This window comes from Homo sapiens, chromosome 19 (assembly GCF_000001405.40).
Source record: "Homo sapiens chromosome 19, GRCh38.p14 Primary Assembly".
NCBI lineage: Eukaryota > Metazoa > Chordata > Mammalia > Primates > Hominidae > Homo > Homo sapiens.
In genome coordinates, this window is record NC_000019.10 from 10012328 (window position 1) to 10033919 (window position 21592).

At 49.1% G+C, this 21592-nt stretch overlaps 1 protein-coding gene across 1 annotated transcript, besides 3 other annotated features; it reads left to right on the plus strand.

Annotated features, from left to right (window-relative positions):
- Positions 1156-9952, plus strand: RDH8 (retinol dehydrogenase 8). Its single transcript, NM_015725.4, has 6 exons — positions 1156-1273; positions 4730-4888; positions 6404-6583; positions 8382-8475; positions 8928-9111; positions 9207-9952. The coding sequence occupies exons 1-6, from the start codon at positions 1171-1173 to the stop codon at positions 9420-9422; spliced, it is 936 nt and encodes a 311-aa protein (NP_056540.3). The 5' UTR covers positions 1156-1170; the 3' UTR covers positions 9423-9952.
- Positions 1777-1946: an enhancer, noted in NCBI's record as "experimental_50731 CRE fragment used in MPRA reporter constructs". NCBI's record gives its function as "activates a minimal promoter by MPRAs in K562 erythroleukemia cells, with activity observed for both the introgressed and non-introgressed 19:10124865 variant alleles {active_cell/tissue: K562}" and the evidence as "EXISTENCE:reporter gene assay evidence [ECO:0000049][PMID:34662402]".
- Positions 5435-6634: an enhancer, noted in NCBI's record as "BRD4-independent group 4 enhancer chr19:10128438-10129637 (GRCh37/hg19 assembly coordinates)". NCBI's record gives its function as "activates an origin of replication core promoter dependent on BRD2, P300/CBP, MED14 and CDK7 cofactors, and independent of BRD4, by STARR-seq in HCT116 cells {active_cell/tissue: HCT116}" and the evidence as "EXISTENCE:reporter gene assay evidence [ECO:0000049][PMID:35650434]".
- Positions 15192-15849: a transcriptional cis regulatory region, noted in NCBI's record as "candidate enhancer chr19.1735 targeted for multiplex CRISPR interference". NCBI's record gives its function as "positively regulates ZNF121 gene expression with high confidence in K562 cells {active_cell/tissue: K562}" and the evidence as "EXISTENCE:mutant phenotype evidence [ECO:0000015][PMID:30612741]".

Below are 21592 nucleotides of genomic sequence, written 5' to 3' on the forward strand. Positions count from 1 at the left end.
GGGTGGGAGGAGGAGAGGGTATCTCTGTAAGCTGTGCCTCCTCCCACCCCAGGGACATCTGAGGCTGAGACTTCTCCAACTAAAAGACTCTCACAAAATTCCTGCCCTGCCCTGCCTTGCTGGAAGTTCTTCCTATAGTCTAACTACATCTTCTGACAGTTCTACACCCCTTCCCTCTATGAAACACTTCTGGATCCACATTCTCTGTCTCCTTCTCTCACTCTCTCCCTTCAATCAGAGATTCTTCACCCAGAATACAGACACTAATTCCCCCCAACTTTCACAGAAACTCTCCCCAGCCCTAAATAATTTATACTCGGCCAGGCTCAGTGGCTCATGCTTGTAATCCCAACACTTTGGGAGGCTGAGGCGGCTGGACCACTTGAGGTCAGGAGTTCAAGACCAGCCTGGCCAACATGGCGAAACCTCATCTCTACTAAAAATACAAAAATTAGCTGGGTGTGGTGGCACACGCCTGTAATCCCAGCTACTCAGGAGGCTGAGGCAGGAGAATCATTTTACCCTGGAAAGCTGAGGTTGTAGTGAGCCGAAATTGCACCACTGCACTCCAGCCTGGGTGACAAGAGCAAGACTCTGTCTCAAAATAATAATAATAATTTACAGTCATAATAAAAATTATAAATTAAGAAAACAGTTACAAATGGCCAAGGCAGGAGGATCACTTGAGGCCAAGAGTTCGAGACCAATCTGGGCAACATAGCAAGATCCCATGTCTAAAAGAAAAAGAAATTTAAAAATTAGCTGGGCATGGTAGTGTGCGCCGGTAGCCCCAGCTACTCTGGAGGCTGAGATAGGAGGATCGCTTGAGGCTGTGGTGAGCTATGATGGTGCCACTGCACTCCAGCCTGAGTGACAGAGCAAGATGCTGTCTCTTAAAAACAAACAAACAAAAACCAGTGATGTCTATAGTAGGTGCGGAGAAGAAATGTTTGGCAGATGAAGAAAATGAGGTGCAGAGAGGATTTAAGAGATTCTCTCTTACTGCCTGTTCAGGGTCAGTCCAGAATTGAGGGTCTCCGGGGGAGGGCAGAGGCTTTGCCCTGCAGGGGATCTGTGGGAGGGGGTTAGGAGGGAGCAGATGAGCCCAGGATGAATGGTCAGAGTCAGGTGCTGCCCGGCGGAGGTCACGAGTCCAGGGAGGGGATCAACATGGCCGCTGCACCCCGGACTGTGTTGATCTCCGGCTGCTCATCAGGAATTGGTCTGGAACTTGCAGTGCAACTGGCCCATGACCCCAAGAAGCGCTACCAGGGTAAGAAGTGCAGGGTGGCACTAGGAGGCAGCCGGGTGGAAACGGCTTCCCCAGCACTGTCTCCCCTACCCATCCCTCCCAGCTGCACTTGTGGGCTTGGGGAGACCCAGGATTCCCTCCAGGAATCATCCCCTCATCCTAGAAATATTTCTTGAGCATCTTCTGGGTGCTCTGAATGCTGGCAACACAACTGGAGATGAAATAGACAAAAATCTCAGCCCTCAGGACGGGTGTCATGTGGGGAGGAGAGGGAGAATGGGTGATAAACAGATAAAAAGAAATTGTTGCTCTATCTGGTGGGAATAAGTGCTGAGACACAAAATAAAGCATGCTGAGAGTGGCAGGGGGTGGGTGGGGGTTATTTTTAGAAGGGTTTCACTAGGGCATTTCCTAGATTGGAATAATCACTACCCTGATGCTCACTCTTCCACGTCTCCCCAGATTATTGCTTTTACTGAGATAAGCTTCTTAAGTGCTCCTGACCTTGGGGGTTGAAGGGATGGCCTTCTAGTTCTAAGAACTTGCCCTTCTGCACCTCTAGAATAAATCCCTGGGACCTGCATCCTAACCAACCAGGAGAACCCCTGACCCAGAGGGAGCATGCTGGAGTCAAAGTGGGCAAAGGGTTGTTACTTACAAAGAGGCGACTGGGGGTGAGGGCATTGCCCCAGTTGGCAGGGCTGCTTCTCCCAGCCCTCTGCCCTCTGTTTTAGAGACGCACACAGCTTTGAGCATGACAGCCTGAATGCCAGTGTGCAGGGAATAACGTGTGTCCCTATGGGCGGGCAGATGGGTGTATGAAACTGCTGGAGGCTAATGTTTATGGAGCTTTTACAATGCACCAAGCTGCATTCTAAGTGCCCTGAATCCAGGAAGTCATTTAATCCTCACATCACACCCGTGAGGCAGGCACAATCATTCACCCCATTTTATTATTATTTTATTATTTATTTATTTTGAGTCAGAGTCTTGCTCTGTCACCCAGGCTGAGTGCAGTGGTGCATCTTGGCTCACTGCAGCCTCCACTTCCCACGTTCAAGTGATTTTCATGCCTTGACCTCCCGAGTTTCTGGGATTAAGGCATGCACCACCACACCCGGCTAAGTTTTTGTATTTTTAATAGACAAGGTTTCACCATGTTGGCCAGACCGGTCTCGAACTCCTGGTCTCAGGTGATCTGCCTGCCTGGGCCTCCCAAAGTGCTGGGATTACAGGCATGAGCCACCGTGCCTGGCCTGCCCTATTTTAGAAATGAGGAAACTAAGGTGCAGACTGTGAAAGGTCTTTGCTCAAGGTCTCCCAGCTGCAAAGTAGCAGAGCTGGGATTTGAACTCAGGCAGCCCATCCCTTGCACCCATGTTTCCCACTATATCACATGTAGATGCAAGTGACCCCATTCACGTGCCTGCTACCCACAAATCACACTGACCCGAAGACAAGAGGCAAATGCCCCCAGGAGTGTTCATGGGTGATTATGGGTGCACACATTGGGGGATATCAAACACGTATGCTGGTGCATGTGCAGACATAGTACATATGCTGAGGTCCTGCTTAAGAACATAAGCTTGAGGCTGGGCACAGTGGCTCATGCCTGTAATCTCAGCACTTTGGGAGGCCTAGGTGGACAGATCACCTGAGATCAGGAGTTTGAGACCAGCCTGGCCAACATGGTGAAACCCCGTCTCTACTAAAAATACAAAAAATTAGCCAGGCGTGGTGGTGGATGCCTGTAGTCCCAGCTATTCGGGAGGCTGAGGCAGAAGAATGGCGTGAACCTGTGGGGTGGAGCTTGCAGTGAGTCGAGATCATGCCACTGCACTCCAGCCTAAGCGACAGAGCATGACTCTGTCTCAATAAATAAATAAATAAATATACAAAAATTAGCCAGGCATGGTGGCAGTGCCTATAATCCCAGCTACTTGAGAGGCTAAGGCAGGAGAATTGCTTGAACCGGGAGACAGAGGTTGCAGTGAGCTGAGATTTCACCACTGTATTCCAGCCTGGGCACCAAGAGCGAGACTCCGTCTCAAAAAAAAAAAAAAGGGCATAAAAGCTTGGCCAGGTGCTGTGGCTCTCTGGCTCCTCACGCCTGTAATCCCAGCACTTTGGGAGGATGAGGTGGGCAGATCACCTGAGGTTCGAGACCAGGCTGACCAATATGGTGAAACCCCGTCTCTACTAAAAATACAAAAGATTAGCCAGGTGTGGTGGCAGGCACCTGTACCCCTGTAATCCCAGCTACTCGGGAGGCTGAGGCAGGGGAATTGCTTGAACCCAGGAGGTGGAGGTTGCAGTGAGCCGAGATTGCACCCCTGTACTCCAGACTGGGCAACAAACAAGAGTGAAACTTCGTCTCAAAAAAAAAATATATATATATATATGGCTATTCACTTCAGTGTTCATATATGCACATATGTTGGCTATAGTTGTGTATGCATTTTTTTCATGGCAATCTGTTTTATGTTTATATATTTTATTGTCTTACCTACTAGGCTATAAATTCCATGAAGGCAGAAACTTTATCTTATTTATTTATTTATTTATTTATTTATTTATTTATTTATTTTGAGACAGTCTCGCTCTGTTGCCAGGCTGGAGTGCAGTGGCGCTATCTCGGCTCACTGCAAGCTCCGCCTCCCGGGTTCACGCCATTCTCCTGCCTCAGCCTCCCAAGTAGCTGGGACTACAGGCGCCTGCCACCACGCCAGGCTAATTTTTTTTTTTTTTTGTATTTTTAGTAGAGACGGGGTTTCACCATGTTAGCCAGGATGGTCTCGATCTCCTGACCTCGTGATCTGCCCACCTCGGCCTCCCAAAGTGCTGGGATTACAGGCGTGAGCCACCGCGCCAGGCCGCCCGGCCTTATTTTTTATTTTTTGAGACAGGGTCTCACTCTCTCACCCAGACGGTAGTGCAGTGGCTCCATCTCGGCTCACTGCAGCCTCAACCTCCTGGGCTCAAGCAATCCTCCCACCACAGCCTCCCAAGTAGCCAGGACTACAGGTGGGGGCCACCCACCACACCTGGCAAATTTGTAAAATATAATTTTTTTGTAGAGATGGGATCTCGCTATACTTCCCAGGCTGGTCTCAAACTCCTGGGGTCAAGCAATCCTCCCACCTCAGCTTCCCAACGTGCTGGGATTACAGGCTTGAGCCACCACACCTGGTGACTTTATCTTATTTCATGCCATAGCCTCAGCACCTAGAATAGGGCATAGTGTATAGTAGATGCTCAATAAATGTCTGTTGAACTCATGGTTGGAAGGATGGATATAGGTACGTGGAGATGCGTGTACACAAGTGTGCACTTGTTGGCTGAGTGATAAATGTAGGTGTGTAAACTTGTGAGTTTCCATCTCTCTGTGACTTGTAACGCAAGATCACAGACACGTGGCGCCCACACCAAGGGGAAAGGAGCTCAGTGCCTGTCCCTGCTTTACTCTCTGCCCCGCAGTCGTGGCCACCATGAGGGACCTGGGGAAGAAGGAGACACTGGAGGCAGCTGCTGGGGAGGCTCTGGGGCAGACCCTCACCGTGGCCCAGCTGGACGTGTGCAGTGATGAGTCGGTGGCCCAGTGTCTCAGCTGTATCCAGGGAGAAGTGGACGTGCTGGGTGAGACTTCACAGCCCCTGATTCACTAAGCCCCATCCTGGTCTGAGTATAGACCCTCAATATGGCAAGGTCTGAGCACCAGCTCTCTGGCTTCTTCAGCAATCTCTGAACCTGGGCAGAAGGGGTAGACCAGTTGGCCAAGAGGGGTAGACCAGTTGGTCCTACCAATTGATTTATTAAGGGCTGGGTGCAGTGGCTCATACCTGTAATCCTAGCACTTTGGGAGGCCGAGACAGGAGGATTGACCAGCCTCAGCAAAATAGTGAGACTCTGACTCTACAAAAAAATTAAAAATTAGCCAGTCATAGTGGTGCATGCCTAATCCCAGCTACTCGGGAGGCCAAGGTGGGAGGATCCCTTGAGCCCAGGAGTTTGAGGCTGCAGTGAGTTATGACAGAGCCAGTCTGGGGAGACAGAGTAAGACCTTGTCTCAAAAATAATTTTTTTTTTGAGACGGAGTCTTGCTCTGCGCCCAGGCTGGAGTGCAGTGGCGTGATCTCGGCTCACTGCAACCTCCACCTCCCAGGTTCAAGCAATTCTCCTGCCTCGCCTCCTGAGTAGCTGGGATTACAGGTGCCTGCCACCATGCCCAGCTAATTTTTGTATTTTTCTTAGAGACGAGGTTTCACCGTGTTGGTCAGGCTGGTCTCAAACTCCTGACCTCAAGTGATCCGCCCACCTCGACCTCCCAGAGTGCTGGAATTACAGGCATGCACCACCACACCTGGCCAAAAATCAATTTTTTTTGAGATGGAATTTCACTCTTGTTGCCTAGGCTAGAGTGCAATGGCGCAATCTCAGCTCACTGCAACCTCCACCTCCTGGGTTCAAGTGATTCTCCTGCCTCAGCCTCCCAAGTAGCTGGGATTACAGGCAGGCGCCACCACACTTGGCTAATTTTGTATTTTTAGTAGAGACGGGGTTTCTCCATGTTCATCAGGCTGGTCTCGAAGCCTGACCTCAGGTGATCCACTCACCTTGGCCTCCCGAAGTGCTGAGATTACAGGCATGAGCCACCATGCCCAGCTCAAAAATCAATTTTTTTAAAAAACAAAAATATTAGAGACACTAGTAACAATCTGAGGCCTGGAGGTGGGGCAGATTTTATGGAATAGAAATTCTCATATATGGAGAAAGCCATATGTGGTTGGGAAAATTACTTGGATGAGTCACTTGGGGAAGACAGCATGATACAGAAATAAGTCATAAGGTCCCTAACCTTCGCAGGAAGGTGGGTGTCGCTGTCTTGATGTAATTTGGGGTCAGAATTGAATTGCTCATGGATTAAGGGGGGCACTATTCCCAGCAGCCCTTCCTCCCACTCAGGGCTGAGGATCCCCTATGACAAATGCTAAACTGTGTTTAAAGGTTACCAAGGTTTCATATTTGTCCACCCAAGATACCCTGGACTGGCCTTGGACTTGGAGTACGGGGTGAGGTGCTTCAGGGAGTGTCTAGAAGTAATGCTAGAAGAGTGAGGGACTTTAAGGTAACCCTTAGTACCTCTTCTCTTAGTGAATAATGCTGGAATGGGCCTGGTGGGGCCCCTGGAGGGGCTCAGCCTTGCTGCCATGCAGAATGTCTTTGACACCAACTTTTTCGGAGCTGTCCGTCTCGTCAAAGCTGTGCTTCCAGGCATGAAGAGGAGGCGGCAGGGCCACATCGTGGTGATCAGCAGTGTCATGGGCCTGCAGGGTGAGCTGTGGGGACCCAACCCTGGAAATCCCACCAGTGTCTGATCCTCCCCAGACTGGGAGGATGGCGAATGGGTTTTAGATCATATTCTAAATTAGCATGGACCCTGGGCACGGTGATTCATGCCTGTAATCTTAGCACTTTGGGAGGCTGAGACGGGTGGATTGCCTGAGCTCAGGAGTTTGAGACCAGCCTGGGCAACATGGTGAAAGCCCGTTCCTACTAAAATACAAAACAATCAGCCAGGCATGGTGGCATGTGCCTGTAATCCCAGCTACTCAGGAGGCTGAGGCACGAGAATTCCTTGAACCTGGGAGGTGTAGGTTGCAGTGAGCCAAGATCGTGCCACTGCACTCCAGCCTAGGCAACAAAGTGAAACTCTGTCTCAAAAAAAATAATAATAAAATAAAATAAATTAGCCTGGAGAATTGTGTTCAGAAGGATTCTGAAGTTCAGAAGGAAAAAGTGGCCAGACATGGTGACTCACGTCTATAATCCCAGCACTTTGCGTGGCCTAGGCAGGAGGGCTGTTTGAGCTCAGGAGTTTGAGACCAGCCTGGTCAACACAGGGAGTCCTCATCACTACTAAAAATTTTTTTAGAATTGGGCCAGGCACGGTGACTCATGCCTGTAATCCCAACACTTTGGGAGGCCGAGGCAGGTGGATTACCCAAGATCAGGAGTTCAAGACCAGCCTGGCCAACATTATGAAATCCCATCTCTACTAAAAATACAAAAAAATTAGCCGTGTGTGGTGGCACACACCTGTAGTCCCAGCTACTCGGGGTGCTGAAGCAGGAGAATTGCTTGAGCCCAGGAGGCAGAGGTTGCAATGAGCTGAGATTGCGCCATTGCACTCCAGCCTGGGCAACAAGAGCAAGACTCTGTCTAAAAAAAATAAATAAATAAGTAAACAAACAAACAAACAAAAAACAACAACAAAACTTTGGCCAGATGTGGTGGTTCATGCCTGTAATCCCAGCACTTTGGGAGGCTGAGGCTGATGGATCACTTGAGGTCAGGAGTTGGAGACCAGAATGGCCAACATGGTGAAACTCCGTCTCTAGTAAAAATACAAAAATTAGCTGGGTGTGGTGGTGTGCACCTGTAGTCCCAGCTACTCAGGAGGCTGAGGCAGGAGATTCACTTGATCTCAGGAGGCAGAGGCTGCACTCCAGCCTGAACGACAGAGTGAGACTCCGTCTCCCCCCCGCCAAAAAAAAATTAAATTAAATAAAAAAATCAGCCAAGCATCCTAGTGTGTGCCTGTAGTCCCAGTTACTCAGGAAGCTGAAGTGGGAGGATCGCTTAAGCTCAGGAGTTCAAGGCTGCAGTGAGCCATGATTGCACCACTGCACCCCAGACTGCAGAACAGAGCAACACCTTATCAAAAAAGAAAAAGAAAAAGAGAGAGAGAGAGAAGGAAGGAAGGAGGGAGGGAGGGAGGGAGGAAGGAAGGAAGGGAGGGAGGAAGAGAGACAAGGGCCCTAATGAAGAGAAAAATGAAGGGGATCCCCAAGCGGCCCCAAAGGTTTAGAGAATGGAGGGAAATAGGGGAGTTTCCTGGGACCAGGTGGAGCTGGGAGGAGGTGGCACCCGGCACCCGAGAACAACCTCTTTCTGACCCCATATGACCCCATCACACAATGCCATACACCCATCATCTTGGCACCATGTATCTGCTTTCTCTGGTTCCCACATCCTCTTTGCTCTGTCTCCCAAAGACCCCATCACCCTGGAACCCACAAAGCCCACCTCCCAGACCCTCAAAGAGCTCTCCTCCCTCTGACCCTCACAGGTGTCATCTTCAACGATGTCTATGCAGCTTCCAAGTTCGCCCTGGAGGGATTCTTCGAAAGCCTCGCTATCCAGCTGCTGCAGTTCAACATCTTGTGAGGCGGGCACGTGGGCAGAGGGGGCTTGGAGCCAGTGATGGGGAGGTGGCATCGAAAGGGGGAGAGGAGAGATGAAGACAATGAAGCTGAGTGCAGTGGCTCACACCTGTAAGTCCAGCGTTTTGAGAGGCTGAAATGGGAGGATCGCTTGAGGTCAGGCATTTGAGACCAGCCTGGGCAACATAGCGAGACCCCCATCTCAGCCCAAAATTTAAAAATTAGCCAAGGGTGGTGGTGTGTGTACCTGCAGTCCCAGCTACTCAGGAGGCTGAGGCGGAGGATTGTTTGAACCCAGGAGTTGGAGGCTGCAGACAGCTATGATCATGCCACTGCACTCCAGCCTGGGCAACAGAGTGAGACCCTGTATCTTAAAAAAAAAAAAAAATGGACAAAATAGGTCAGGGAGTGGTTGGGGCATCAGACTTACACTACCCATGCCTGGTCGCCAGCATCTCCCTGGTGGAGCCAGGCCCCGTGGTCACCGAGTTTGAGGGGAAGCTTCTGGCGCAGGTTTCTATGGCTGAGTTCCCAGGCACTGACCCTGAGACCCTGCACTACTTCCGGGACCTCTATCTCCCAGCCTCCAGGAAGCTGTTTTGCTCCGTGGGACAGAACCCACAGGACGTGGTTCAGGTGAGTGAAGGGCCCAGAGCCCCAAGACGTGGCTCAGGTATGTTGCGGGGTGAGGCCCTCCCTGGGTCCCAGCGCTCAGGGCCTCCATTCTGCAGGCCATTGTCAACGTCATCAGCTCGACTCGACCACCCCTGCGCCGACAGACCAACATCCGCTACTCGCCGCTGACCACGCTCAAAACCGTGGATTCCTCTGGCAGCCTGTATGTGCGAACGACCCACCGCCTCCTCTTCCGCTGTCCACGCCTCCTCAACCTTGGCCTTCAATGTCTGTCCTGCGGCTGCCTCCCAACGCGGGTGCGGCCAAGATGAGCAGAACAGAGCTTCACGATCCCCATCCCTGAACAACCAGACCTCTTCATTCCACATCTAATTCAAAGGATGAACAGACTCTTCATTTATTCATTCTGCAAACTCCCCCTCCCCTCCTCTGTGCCTAGACATGGCTAGAATCCCAGAAGGGCCTTTATTTTCAGGCATAGACTCCTCTGTGGTCACAGCTGGAGCACAGAGAGGGACCCTGGGAACTTGGCCTGGGAAGCCCAGAGCAGGAAGCCACAGCTGTCTCTGGGAAAGCAAGGGAGGCTTCCTGGAGGAAGCGGCATTGTTATGAGCCTTGAAGGAAGAGACAGACTCTGCTACATTCAACCTCGTGACTTCATGATCCTGGGCCTGAGAACACAGGAATGATTCATAGCCCACCCCCCACCTCCATGCATACACCAGAGCTCTGTGGACCAAGGGGTCATTCCTGGTCACACACTCCATCAGCAAAATGTATTTGAGCACACACCAGCAATGTATGTATATTTTTTCCATTAAATATATATTTATAACCACAAGTTGTAGTTACATTTACTATTTAATAAAGCTCAATTTCTTAAAATTAAATAAAAACTTAAAAAGCCAGTTGAACTACTGGCTCCAAAGAGAGAGAGAGAGAAAGCAAGCAAGCAAGCCAGACATGGTGCCTCATGCCTGTAATCCCAGCACTTGGGAGGCCGAGGCAAGTGGATCACTTGAGTCCAGGAGTTTGAGATCAGTCTGGCCAACATAGAGAAACACTCTGTCTACTAAAAATACAAAAATTAGCTGTGCGTGGTGGCAGGCGCCTGTAATCCCAGCTACTCAGGAAGCTGAGGCATGAGAATCACTTGAACCCAGGAGGTGGAGTTTGCAATGAGGCCAAGACGGCGCCACTGCACTCCAGCCTGGGCAACAGAATGAGACTTTGTCTCAAAAAAATACAAAAACAAAAACTCATGAATGGATAAACAGACTTTTGTATATTCTTTTTTTTTTTCTTTGAGATGGAGTCTCGCTCTGTCGCCCAGGCTGGAGTACAGTGGCGCGATCTCGGCTCACTGCAAGCTCTGCCTCCCGGGTTCATGCCATTTTCCTGCCTCAGCCTCCCAGGTAGCTGGAACTACAGGCGCCCGCCACCACACCCGGCTAATTTTTTGTATTTTTAGTAGAGATGGAGTTTCACCATGTTAGCCAGCATGGTCTTGATCTCCTGACCTTGTGATCTGTCCACCTCGGCCTCGCAAAGTGCTGGGATTACAGGCGTGAGCCACCGCGCCCGGCCAACTTTTGTATATTCTTAAAGAGGAAGGAAATTCTGATACGTGGGTAAATACTGAGAATACCATACTGAGTGAAATAAACCAGATAGAAAATTCCACTTATCTGAGATGCCTAAGGTAGTCAAATTCATAGAGATAGAAAGTCACTCAGTGGGCGCCAGGGGCTGAGGGAGGACAGAATGGGGAATTAGTGTTTCATGGGGACAGAGTTTCAGTTTGGGAAGATGAGAAAGTTCTGGAGATGGATAGCGGTGATGGTTGCACAACAGTGTGAATGAACCTAAGGCCACTGATCTGTACAGTTATAAATGGTTAAAATGGTAATTTTTTTTTTTTTTTGAGACAGAGTCTCGCTGTCACCCAGGCTAGAGTGCAGTGGCACAATCTCAGCTCACTGCAACCTCTGCCTCCTGGGTTCTAGCAATTCTCCTGCGTCACCCTCCTGAGTAGCTGGGATTACAGGCGCCCACCACCACGCCTAGCTAATTTTTGTATTTTTAGTGGAGATGGGTTTTTTCCATGTTGGCCAGGCTGATCTCAAACTCTTGACCTCAGATGACCCTCCCGCCTTGGCCCCCCAAAGTGCTGGGATTACAGGCATAAGCCACTGCGCCCAGCCAAAAATGGTAAATTTTGTAGTGCACATATTTTACCACAACTTTGAAAACAGACATAGAGTGTTTTAGTTTAAAAAAAAACTTAATATAGACCAGGCACAGTGGCTCACATCTGTAATTCCAGCACTTTGGGAGGCCAAGGCAGGTGGATCACCTGAAGTCAGGAGTTTGAGACCATCCTGGCCAACATGGAAAAACCCCATCTCTACTAAAAATACAAAAATTAGCTAGGCATTGTGGTGCGCGCCTGTAATCCCAGCTACTCCAGAGGCTGAGGCATGATAATTGCCTGAACCCAGGAGGCAGAGGTTGTGGTCAGCTGAGATTGCACCTCTGCACTCCAGCCTGGGTGACAGAGTGAGACTCTGTCTCAAAACAAAAACCAAACAAACAAAAAAACTGAATATATACTTTTTAAAAAACTTTTTCACTAAAAGCAGCATACTATACAAATAAATGTGAACTTTAGTTGTTTCCTTGGATCATGTATACCTTGGAGGATTTTCTTTTTTTTCTTTTTTGAGACAGGGTCTCACTCTCTCCCCCAGGCTGGAGTGCAGTGGCGCAATCTCGGCTCACCGCAACCTCTGCCTCCCGGGTTCAAGTGATTCTCCCACCTCAGCCTCCTGAGTAGCTGGGACTACAGGCGTGTGCCACCACGCCTGGCTAATTTTTGTATTTTTAGTAGAGACAGGGTTTCACCGTGTTAGCCAGGCTGGTCTCAAACTCCTGACTGATTCGCCCTCCTTGGCCTCCCAAAGTGCTGGGATTACAGGCATGAGCCACTGTGCCTGGTCGCAGGGTTTTCCATATCGGCCCAAGCAGACATCCTCATTCCTTGCAGATCTGGAGTTTATTCCATTGTGGAGATAAACAATAATTTATGCAACTCTTTTCTCTACTAATAGATCTCTGGATTCTCTCCAAATGTTTGCTATTACATAAATGGCAGCAATGACAAACCTCATATCATCTCACACATGTGCAAGAGTTTCTGTCATGAGATTATTTGGCCAAAGTATCTAAGCATTTGTAATTTTTCTGAACATTATCAAATTCTTGTCCATCCTGGAGGACCAATGTCCATATGGTAGCCTCCTTGCTTGGCAATACCTTTGGCACACACCATATTATCTGTCTTCTGAATTTATGCAAATCTAATGGATAAAAATTGGTATCTTGGTGTGGTTTTAAATTGTACTTCTCTTATTATGAGAGAAGCTGAATATCTTTTCAAATGTTAAAGAACCTTTTGTGTTTCATTTTTAGTGGGCATTCTGATCACACCTTTGCCCAATTTATTTTCTGTTGGATTGTTGATGTTTTTATTATTCATTTCTAGAAACTTTATATATTGAGGAAATTAAGGAATCTGATACGAAGTGCAGACACTTCCATTCCCAGTTTGCTTTTTTTTTTCTTTTTTAACTTATCTGTTAAGGGTGTTTGGCCTTATTTTTATGTTGTGGAATTGTTATTATTACTATTATTTGAGATGAAGTTTCATTCTTGCTGCCCAGGCTGGAGTGCAACGGTGCGATCTCGGCTCAGCACAACCTCCTCCTCCCGAGTTCAAGTGATTCCCCTGCCTCAGCCTCCCAAGTAGCTGGGATTACAGGCATGTGCCACCACACCCGGCTAATTTTTGTATTTTCAGTAGAGATGGGGTTTCTCCATGTTGGTCAGGCTGGTCTCAAACTCCCGACATCAGGTGATCCACCTGCCTCGGCCTCCCAAAGTCCTGGGATTACAGGCGTGAGCCACCATACCGGGCCATTATTATTATTTTACTTTTAAATTTCAAGACACAGAAACAAAGAACATACTGATAGCACAGTGGCTCACGCATGTAATCCCAACACTGGGAGGTGGAGGCAAGAGAATCACTTGAGTCCAGGATTTTGAGACCAGCCTGGGCAGCATAGCAAAACCCCATCTCTACAAAAAATTTTAAAAAATTAGCCTGGTGTGGTGTCATGTCCTTGTAGTCTCAGCTACTCAGGAGGTTGAAGCAAGAGGATCTCTTGCATCCAGGAATTAGAGGCTGCAGTAAGATATGATCGCACCACTGCACTCCAGCCTGCTGAGAGAGACAGTCCCTGTCTCAAATAAATAAATAAATAAATAAAATAAGAAAAGACATACACAGACTGATTCTGTTAAAACACAAAGACAGGCCGGATGCGGTGGCTCACGCCTGTAATCCCAGCACTTTGGGAGGCCGAGGCGGGCGGATCACGATGTCAGGAGATCGAGACCATCCTGGTTAACATGGTGAAACCCCATGTCTACTAAAAGTACAAAAAATTAGCCAGGCATGGTGGTGGGCGCCTGTAGTCCCAGCTACTCGGGAGGCTGAGGCAGGAGAATGGCATGAACCCGGGAGGCGGAGCTTGCAGTGAGCCGAGACCACGCCAATGCAGCAAGCCGACATTGCACCACTGCACTCCAGCCTGGGTGACAGAGTGAGACTCCGTCTCACAAAACACACACACACACACACATACACACACACACACACACAAAGACAATGTCAATGCTCTTTTCAAACCTCTGCAGTGGTTTCTCCTCTTATTTAGACTTTTTTTTTTTTGAGACAGGGTCTTGCTCTGTCATTCAGATCGAAGTACAGTGGTGCAATCACTCAGCCTCAACCTGCTAGGCTCAAGAGATCCTCCCACCTCAGCCTCCTGAGTAGCTGGGACCACAGGTGCGTGCCACCATGCCTAGCTAACTTTTTAAACATTTTTTGTAGAGGGGGGTCTCACTATGTTGCCCAGGCTGGTCTTGAACTCCTGGTCTCAAGCAATCCTTCCACCTTGGCCTCTCAAAGTGCTGGGATTACAGGTGTGAGCCATGATGTCCGGCATGCTTCCCCTCTTATTTAGACTCAGATCAAAACTGCATCATCTGACCAATGAATATTTGTCTCAAATTATCTCCCACTTTTTCCCCATCACCTACTCATTCCAGCAACACTGACTTCTTTGCTGTGCCGTTTCGTCTGTCTGTCTGTCTGTCTTTATCTCTTTTTAGAGACAGGGTCTCTCTCTGTCACCCAGGCTGGTGTGCAGTGGCATGATCATAGTTCACTGCAACCTCAAACTCCTGGATTCAAGTGATCCTTCAGCCTTGGCCTCCTAAAGTGCTGGTATTACTGGTGTGAGCCACCACGCCTGGCCTACTTGCTGTTTCTTAAACTCTCCAACCTCAATACCTTTGCACTTGCTGTTCCCTCTACATAGAATGCTTTTCCCAAATATCCACAAGGTTCCCTTCCTCATTTCCTTCATGCGCTCAAATACCACCTCCTCCAAGAGGTCCTCCAGGCTCACCTCAAGATAGCACACTGTCCCTTTATTTTCTTACGTGTTTTATTTCCCATGATCTGACATGGTTCTCTCTCTTTTTTTTTTCCTTCCTTCCTTCTTTCCTTCCTCCCTCCCTCCCTTCCTCCCTTCCTTCCTTCTCTTTCTTTCATTCTAAAAACAAATAATCATAGAAACGGGGGTCTTGCTTTATTGAGCAGGCTGCTTTTGAATTCCTGGGCTCAAGTGATCCTCCCACCTCGGCCTCTCAAAGTGCTGGGATTACAGACATGAGCCACCACGCCCGGCAGGCATATACCACTGTTTCTTGCTTGTCTCCACCCACTAAAATGTCAGCTCCATGGGCAGGGGACTGTTGTCTATTTGCTCTACCCACATCACCAGCACCGTGGAAACCAAAAAATGACTCAAGGAGTTAACCAAGCTGGCACATCCTGGCAGTACAGTCCACCCTGAGAAGCTCCTGACACCTCCTACCTGGACAAGACAGGGTACTTCTCTGACCCTCAGTTTCTTCATCTGTGAAATGGAACTTGCCAGGGAGAAAGTTATATTAAGGGCTGGAATGTAGTCGGGGTCTAATAAATTAGAGCCCTTAATAGTTATGTTGATGGTAGCCTTATTCCTTGGTCTCCTGGGTCCTGCCCGGCCTTCCCTGGGAAGCTCTGAGCTCAAAGCCCTGGAGGAGGGAGTAAAACCAGAGGCTGCATCTCTGCAAGGACACATCCCTGCAAGTCCACCCCTCCCGCCCGCGCCTTCTCGGTGCAAACTCCCGATCCCAGGGAGGGGAAGGCGGGCGGAATCTGAGCGGCAGGCGCAGCTGCTCCGGGCGGGCGGCCAAGGTTCCCTCCCTCGAGCACTGGCATTCCTGAGGGAGGGGCCGAGCGCAGCTGCCCGCCTGGCCGGAGGCTCGCTTGCGCCCTCTGGTGTCCAAGTACGAGAGGCCACGTGGACTTGCGCACCAGCAGCCGGTCTGTTCTAGGCCACTGTCTGCAGCTCAGGTGGACCTGGGTGGAGCTAGGTCTACCCCCTACCTTTCTTGGGCTCCCTTTTCTTATCCGGGTTCACGAACTCAGCTTCCATCACTAAACTTGCTGTGTGACCCTGAGCAAGACACTCAACCTCCCTGTACCACAGTTTCTTAGCTGTGCAATTTGGGACAGGATCCTTTACCTTTTTAGTGCCACTTTTTCTTTCTTTCTTTCTTTCTTTCTTTCTTTCTTTCTTTCTTTCTTTCTTTTCTCCTTTTTCTTTCTTTCTCTTTCTTCTTTCTTTTTCTTTCTTTCTTTCCTTCTTTCTCTTTCTTTTCATTCGTTTGTTCTTTCTCTTCTTTTCTTTTTCTTTTTCTCTTCTTTCTCTCTCTTCTTTCTCTTTCTTTCTTTCTTTCTTTCTTTCTTTTTCTGTTATAGAGATGGGGTCTCACTGTGTTGCCCAGGCTGGTCTCAAACTCCTGGGCTCAAGCAATCCTCCTGCTTTGGCCTCCCAAAATGCTGGGATTACAAGAGTAAGCCACCACCCTGGTTGCCTTCGTTTTTTCTTTTTCTTTCTTTCTTTCTTTTTTAATTTTTGGGACACAATCTCACTCGGTCGCCCAGGCCAGAGTGCAGTGGCAGGATTACTGTTCACTGTAGCCTTGACTCCTGTGCTCAAGCGATCCTCCCACCTCAACCCCCTGAGTAGTTGGTGTTATGCATGCGTCTAATTGAAGAGACACCCTGAACAGGCTAAGTGTGAGCAACAAGGCTGTTTACTCACTTTTCGGCTAAGTCCAAAAAGGGAATCAGCAAAGGGTGGTTGGAGTGGAACTGGTTTTATAGGTTTGGGGTAGGTAGTGGAAAGTTACAGTTAAGGGCAGTTTCTTCGGGCAGGGGAAGAATGTCACAAGGTGCATAGTCACGAGGTGGGAGGTCACAAGGCACGATATCACAAGGTTGATTGATTAGTTAGGGCAGGGCAGGAGCAGATCACAATGGTGGAATGTCACAAGGTTGGTTAATAAATTAAGGCAGGAACTAGCTGTTTCTTCTTTAGTGGTTCTCCTGTTGCTCCAGGCTTCGTGACTCCAGGGGGCCTGTACGTGTGGCTCACAGGGATCACAATGGCTGGACCATGGTGTAGCCTGTTCAGAGGACCTTACATTCCTGTCTTTTTATGTTTAATAATGAAAAATAAAATGAGAAAGAAATAAAACGAGAAAGAGTAGTGTAATGTTGGGATGTTGGGGTGAAAATTTTCGGGATGGTATGGAGGGGTGATGGATGATGTTTTGGGATGATGGGTAATGTTTCTCAGGACTGCTTCAAGCGGGGTTAGGGGCAGCATGGGAACCTAAAGTTGGAGAGATTAAACTGAAGAAAGATCTTGGTGTAGGGGGTGATATTGTGAGGTTTTAGGAGGAGTATTTGCCGTATTGATTGATTAGTAATAGCTTAGATGCAATTTTGTATAAACTGAGAGATTAGCCTGAAAAGACAAGGTCCGATCAAGAGGAGGAGAAGGATGAAAGGGCCTGTTAGTGGAAGGAGCCTTGAAGCTAGGCTAGAGAATGGCAAGGTAGGTCCAGAATAATTATTTGCCTGATTTGCAAGTTTTTGAGCTTTGTCTTTAAATTTTTTGATGTTATCATATACGAGGCCAGATTGATTTAAGTAAAAGCAGCATTCTTCATTTAAGAATAGGCAGAGTCCTCCTTTTCCAACAGTAAGCAGATTGAGGCCTCGGCGATTGTGGAGGACAACTGCACCCAAGGAATCGACCTGGGCTTGGAGGGCAGAGAGTGTTTGAGTTATATCGATAAGGCTAGCAGAGAAGTCATTGGAGAGACTGAGAAAGGTAGTGATGTTGTAAGGCCTGCTACTCCTGTCCCGATTGAAGCGGCAGAGACTTCTAGTCCTACAAACGGAATTAATGGAATGACTTTTTTTTGTCGTGCTGAGGTTAAGAGAGGAACGGGCAGCTATTCGCTACCATTTGCAAACTTGATTTTGGAAGTAAGGAAAACTAGAGTACGGGTTCCTGTCTGATTGGCAGGGAGGCACATGTAGGTGGAAAAGCCACAGAGAAAAAAGAGTCCTTGAGGCATGCAAAACTGGAAGTGCAGAGTAAAATGGTGAGAGTGTGTTTTGGAAGTGGGGTCCTGCACCCAGACCCCTAGGGATCCAGCAAGGGCAGCAGCTGTTAAAGGTTGTAGTGGGGTTTGATAGGGTAGTTGTGTAGAGGGAGAGGTTCTGTTTTCATGGAAGGGTAAAGGAACATAAGGAAGATGGGAGGCTCCCTAAGGGAATTCCAGTAGGTAATTGCTGGGAGACGTATAAGGGGGCAGCAATGGGGATAGTTTCTGTGTAGTGAGGGGTCCAAGAACAGGGGGTGTGGCATTGATATAGGCAGACAGCTTTTTTTAGGTAGGTACAGAGGAGAGTGGCAGCTTGTTGTTAAAACATGTCAGGGGAATTTTTACTGAATTTGTCTAGAAAGTAAAGAAGTTGTTCGGGAGGGCAAAGGTGGGGGGTCACTGAAAGAGGTTCGGAGGTGTAGGGAGATGGGGGAGGTTGCCCAGTCAGCTGGTAGGGCAGGGACAGCTGTGTAGTAGGAGGAAGAGAGGGAAATGCATAGCCAACAATTTTTGGCCAAGGAAGGAACAGGATGGAGGGGAGGACAATCTGATTAATAAGGCGAAGGTCTTGGACTAGTCTGTAGGATTTATCTGGCTTTTGAACAGGTAGGGTGGGAGAGTTGTAAGCGGAGTTGGTAGGAACTAAGAGGCCATGCTGTAGTAGACAGGTAATAACAGGCTTTAGGCCCCTTAATGCCTGTTGTGGGATGGGGTATTGGCATTGAGCAGGATAAGGGTGGTTAGGTTTTAATGGGATGATAAGGGGTGAATGGACAGTTGCAAGGGAAGGAGCGGAAGTATCCTACACTTTAAGGTTGAGGTGGGGAGATGAAAGGGGAGGTTGCCAGGGAGGGTTGGAATTGGATAAAAGGGTAGCTATGAGATGTGGCTGTAGTCCAGGAATAGTCAGGGAGGCAGATAATTTAGTTAAAATACCTTGGCCTGATAAGGGGACTGGGCAGGTGGGGATAACCAGGAAGGAATGCCTGAAAGAGTGTTGCCCGATTTGACACCAGAGTTGGGGACTTTTAAGGGGTTTAGAAACTTGGCCGTCAATACCCACAACAGTTATGGGGGCAAGAGAAGCAGGCTCTTGAGAAGAAGGTAATGTGGAGTGGGTAGCCCCCATATCAATCAAAGGGACGGACTTACCCTCCACCGTAAGAGTTGCCCAAAACTCGGTGTCCATGATGGTCCAGGGGGCCTCCGAGACGTTCGGGCAGCGTCAGTCTTCAGCCGCCAAGCCGAGGAGATCTGCGAAGGAGTTGGTCAGGGAGTTTCGGGTTTGAGCTCCAGGAGCTCCGGCAGTGGCGATAAGAGTCCGACAGTCCGACTTCCAGTGAGGGCCCGCACAGACCGGGCATGGCTTGGAAGGAATGCCGGGCTGCGGGCATTCCTTGGCCCATGGCCAGGTTTTCAACCCTTGAAGCAAGGTCCTGGAGCGGGGATTTGGACGTCTTGAGGTTCTTACACGTAGGCGGTGCAGCTGGGGTTTGTCTTAGGGCAGAGGCAAGCCTCTGCAGTTCTGAAATACGCCGCTGCCAGGCAGCCTCTTCCCTGTTATTGAACACCTTGAAAGCGAGGTTGATTAAATCCTGTTGTGGGATTTGAGGGCCAGACTCTAATTTTTGAAATTTCTTTCTAATGTCAGGAACTGACTGCGTGATAAAATGCATGTTAAGAATAAGGCGGCTGCCGGGCGCGGTGGCTCACGCCTGTAATCCCAGCACTTTGAGATGCCGAGGCGGGCGGATCACGAGGTCAGGAGATCGAGACCATCTTGGCTAACACGGTGAAACCCCGTCTTTACCAAAAATACAAAAAATTAGCCAGGCGTGGTGGCGGGCGCCTGTAGTCCCAGCTACTGGGGAGGCTGAGGCAGGAGAATGGCGTGAACCCGGGAGGCGGAGCTTGCAGTGAGCGGAGATCAGGCCACTGCACTCCAGCCTGGGCGACAGAGCGAGACTCCTTCTCAAAAAAGAAAAGAAAAGAAAAAAAAAGAATAAGGCGGACTTCTGGCCCTTCAGGGTCTAGTGCTGTATATCGCCTGAGGGTGGCAGCTAGATGGGCCATAAACTAAGCTGGATTTTCATATTTGTTCTGAGTGGTCTCTTTTAGTTTGTCATAACTGATGACTTTATATGCAGCCTTCTGAAGCCCTTGAGCTAGGCAAGAGATCATATAGTCCCGCCTGGCTATGCCTTGGACCCCTGCGTGGTAGGTCCACTGGGGGTCTTCACGGGGTACTTCCCTGGCACCTTTTTGGAGGCCAGGCTCAAGGCACCAGTGGTCATCAGCATAAGACTGAGCTAGGGTCCAAACTCGCTCTCGCTCCTCAGGAGTGAACGTAGAGGTGAGGATGACGTTTAAGTCATTCCAGTTAAGATTATAGCACTGGGTTAAGTATCGGAATTCTTGTATATAGTTCGTGGGGTCAGACGGGAAAGAGCTTAGGCGTTGACTATTTTGGGAGAGTTCTGACAGGGAGAAAGGGACATGAACCTGGACTATTCCTTCGGCTCCTGCCACCTCTCGAAGGGGAAATTGCTGGGCAGGGGCAGGGGGACCGGCCACGGGGCCAAATTGTAAGCCAGATAAGGTGTGAGGAGGGGTGGTGATGGGAGGGGCATAAGGGGGTGGGCTGTGGGTAGAAGAGGGATCAGGTTCTGAGGGGGAATTAGAACGAGTTCGGGTGGGTGAGGGGGAGAAATATCAGAGGGATTAACAGACACAGAGGAATCGGCATTGCCAATGGAAAAAGGAGGGGTAGACGGAAGGGAGATAAGGAAAACTTGGGACAGGTCACATTGGGAGCAGACGGTAGGGAGAGATCATAGTGTAAAAAAATGCCTGGACATAGGGTACCTCAGACCATTAGACCATTTTGTGACAGAAGTTGTCTAAGTCCCGCAAAATAGAGAAATTGAAAGTGCCGTTTTCTGGCCACTGAGGGCTGTTGTCTAATTTACACTGGGGCCAGGCATGTTACAGAAAAAAATAAATAAACGTTTAGGCTTTAGATTGGGTGAAAGCTGAAGAGGTTTGAGATTTTTGAGGACAAAAGTCAGAGGGGAAGAAGGAGGGATGGAGGGCGGGAGGTTGCCCATGATAGAAGAGGGAAGATTGGATGGGAAAGAAAGAGACAAAGAATAGAGCAACCACAGGGATCTTCGGTGGGCATCCCGAATGGAAGTCCTGGGTTGTACGGCTGTGACCAACGCTGGATTTCAGAAACACAGATAAAAGGAGGTTCCTTGTCTGAAAGAAAAAGAGAGAGAGAGACGAAGAGAGACTGAGGCAGCTTAATCGATCTGTAGGCAGGAGTGGGGTCATTTTGCAGGGGTGGGTCTGAAGTCCCAAGGTGGAAGGGAGTCTCTTCAAGGAAGAGTGCAGGGGAATGGGGGTAGGTGTCCCGGAGGAGATCCTCTATCCCGGGCTTTCAGCACCAAATGTTCTGCGCGCGTCTAATTGAAGAGGCACCCTGAACAGGCTAAGTGTGAGCAACAAGACTGTTTATTCACTCGGATGCAAGCGGGCTGAGTCCGAAAAAAGAGTCAGTGAAGGGTGATTGGAGTGGAACTGGTTTTATAGGTTTGGGGTAGGGTAGTGGAAAGTTACAGTTAGGGGCAGTTTTTTCGGGCAGGGGAAGAATGTCACAAGGTTTATAGCCACAAGGTGGGGGGAGGTCACAACGTCAATTGATTAGTTAGGGTAGGGCAGGAACATATCACAGTGGTGGAATGTTCCAAGGTCGGTTAATAAGTTAAGGCAGGAACTAGCTGTTTCTTTGGTGGTTCTCCTGTTGCTCCAGCCTTTGTGACCCCAGGAGGCTGTACAT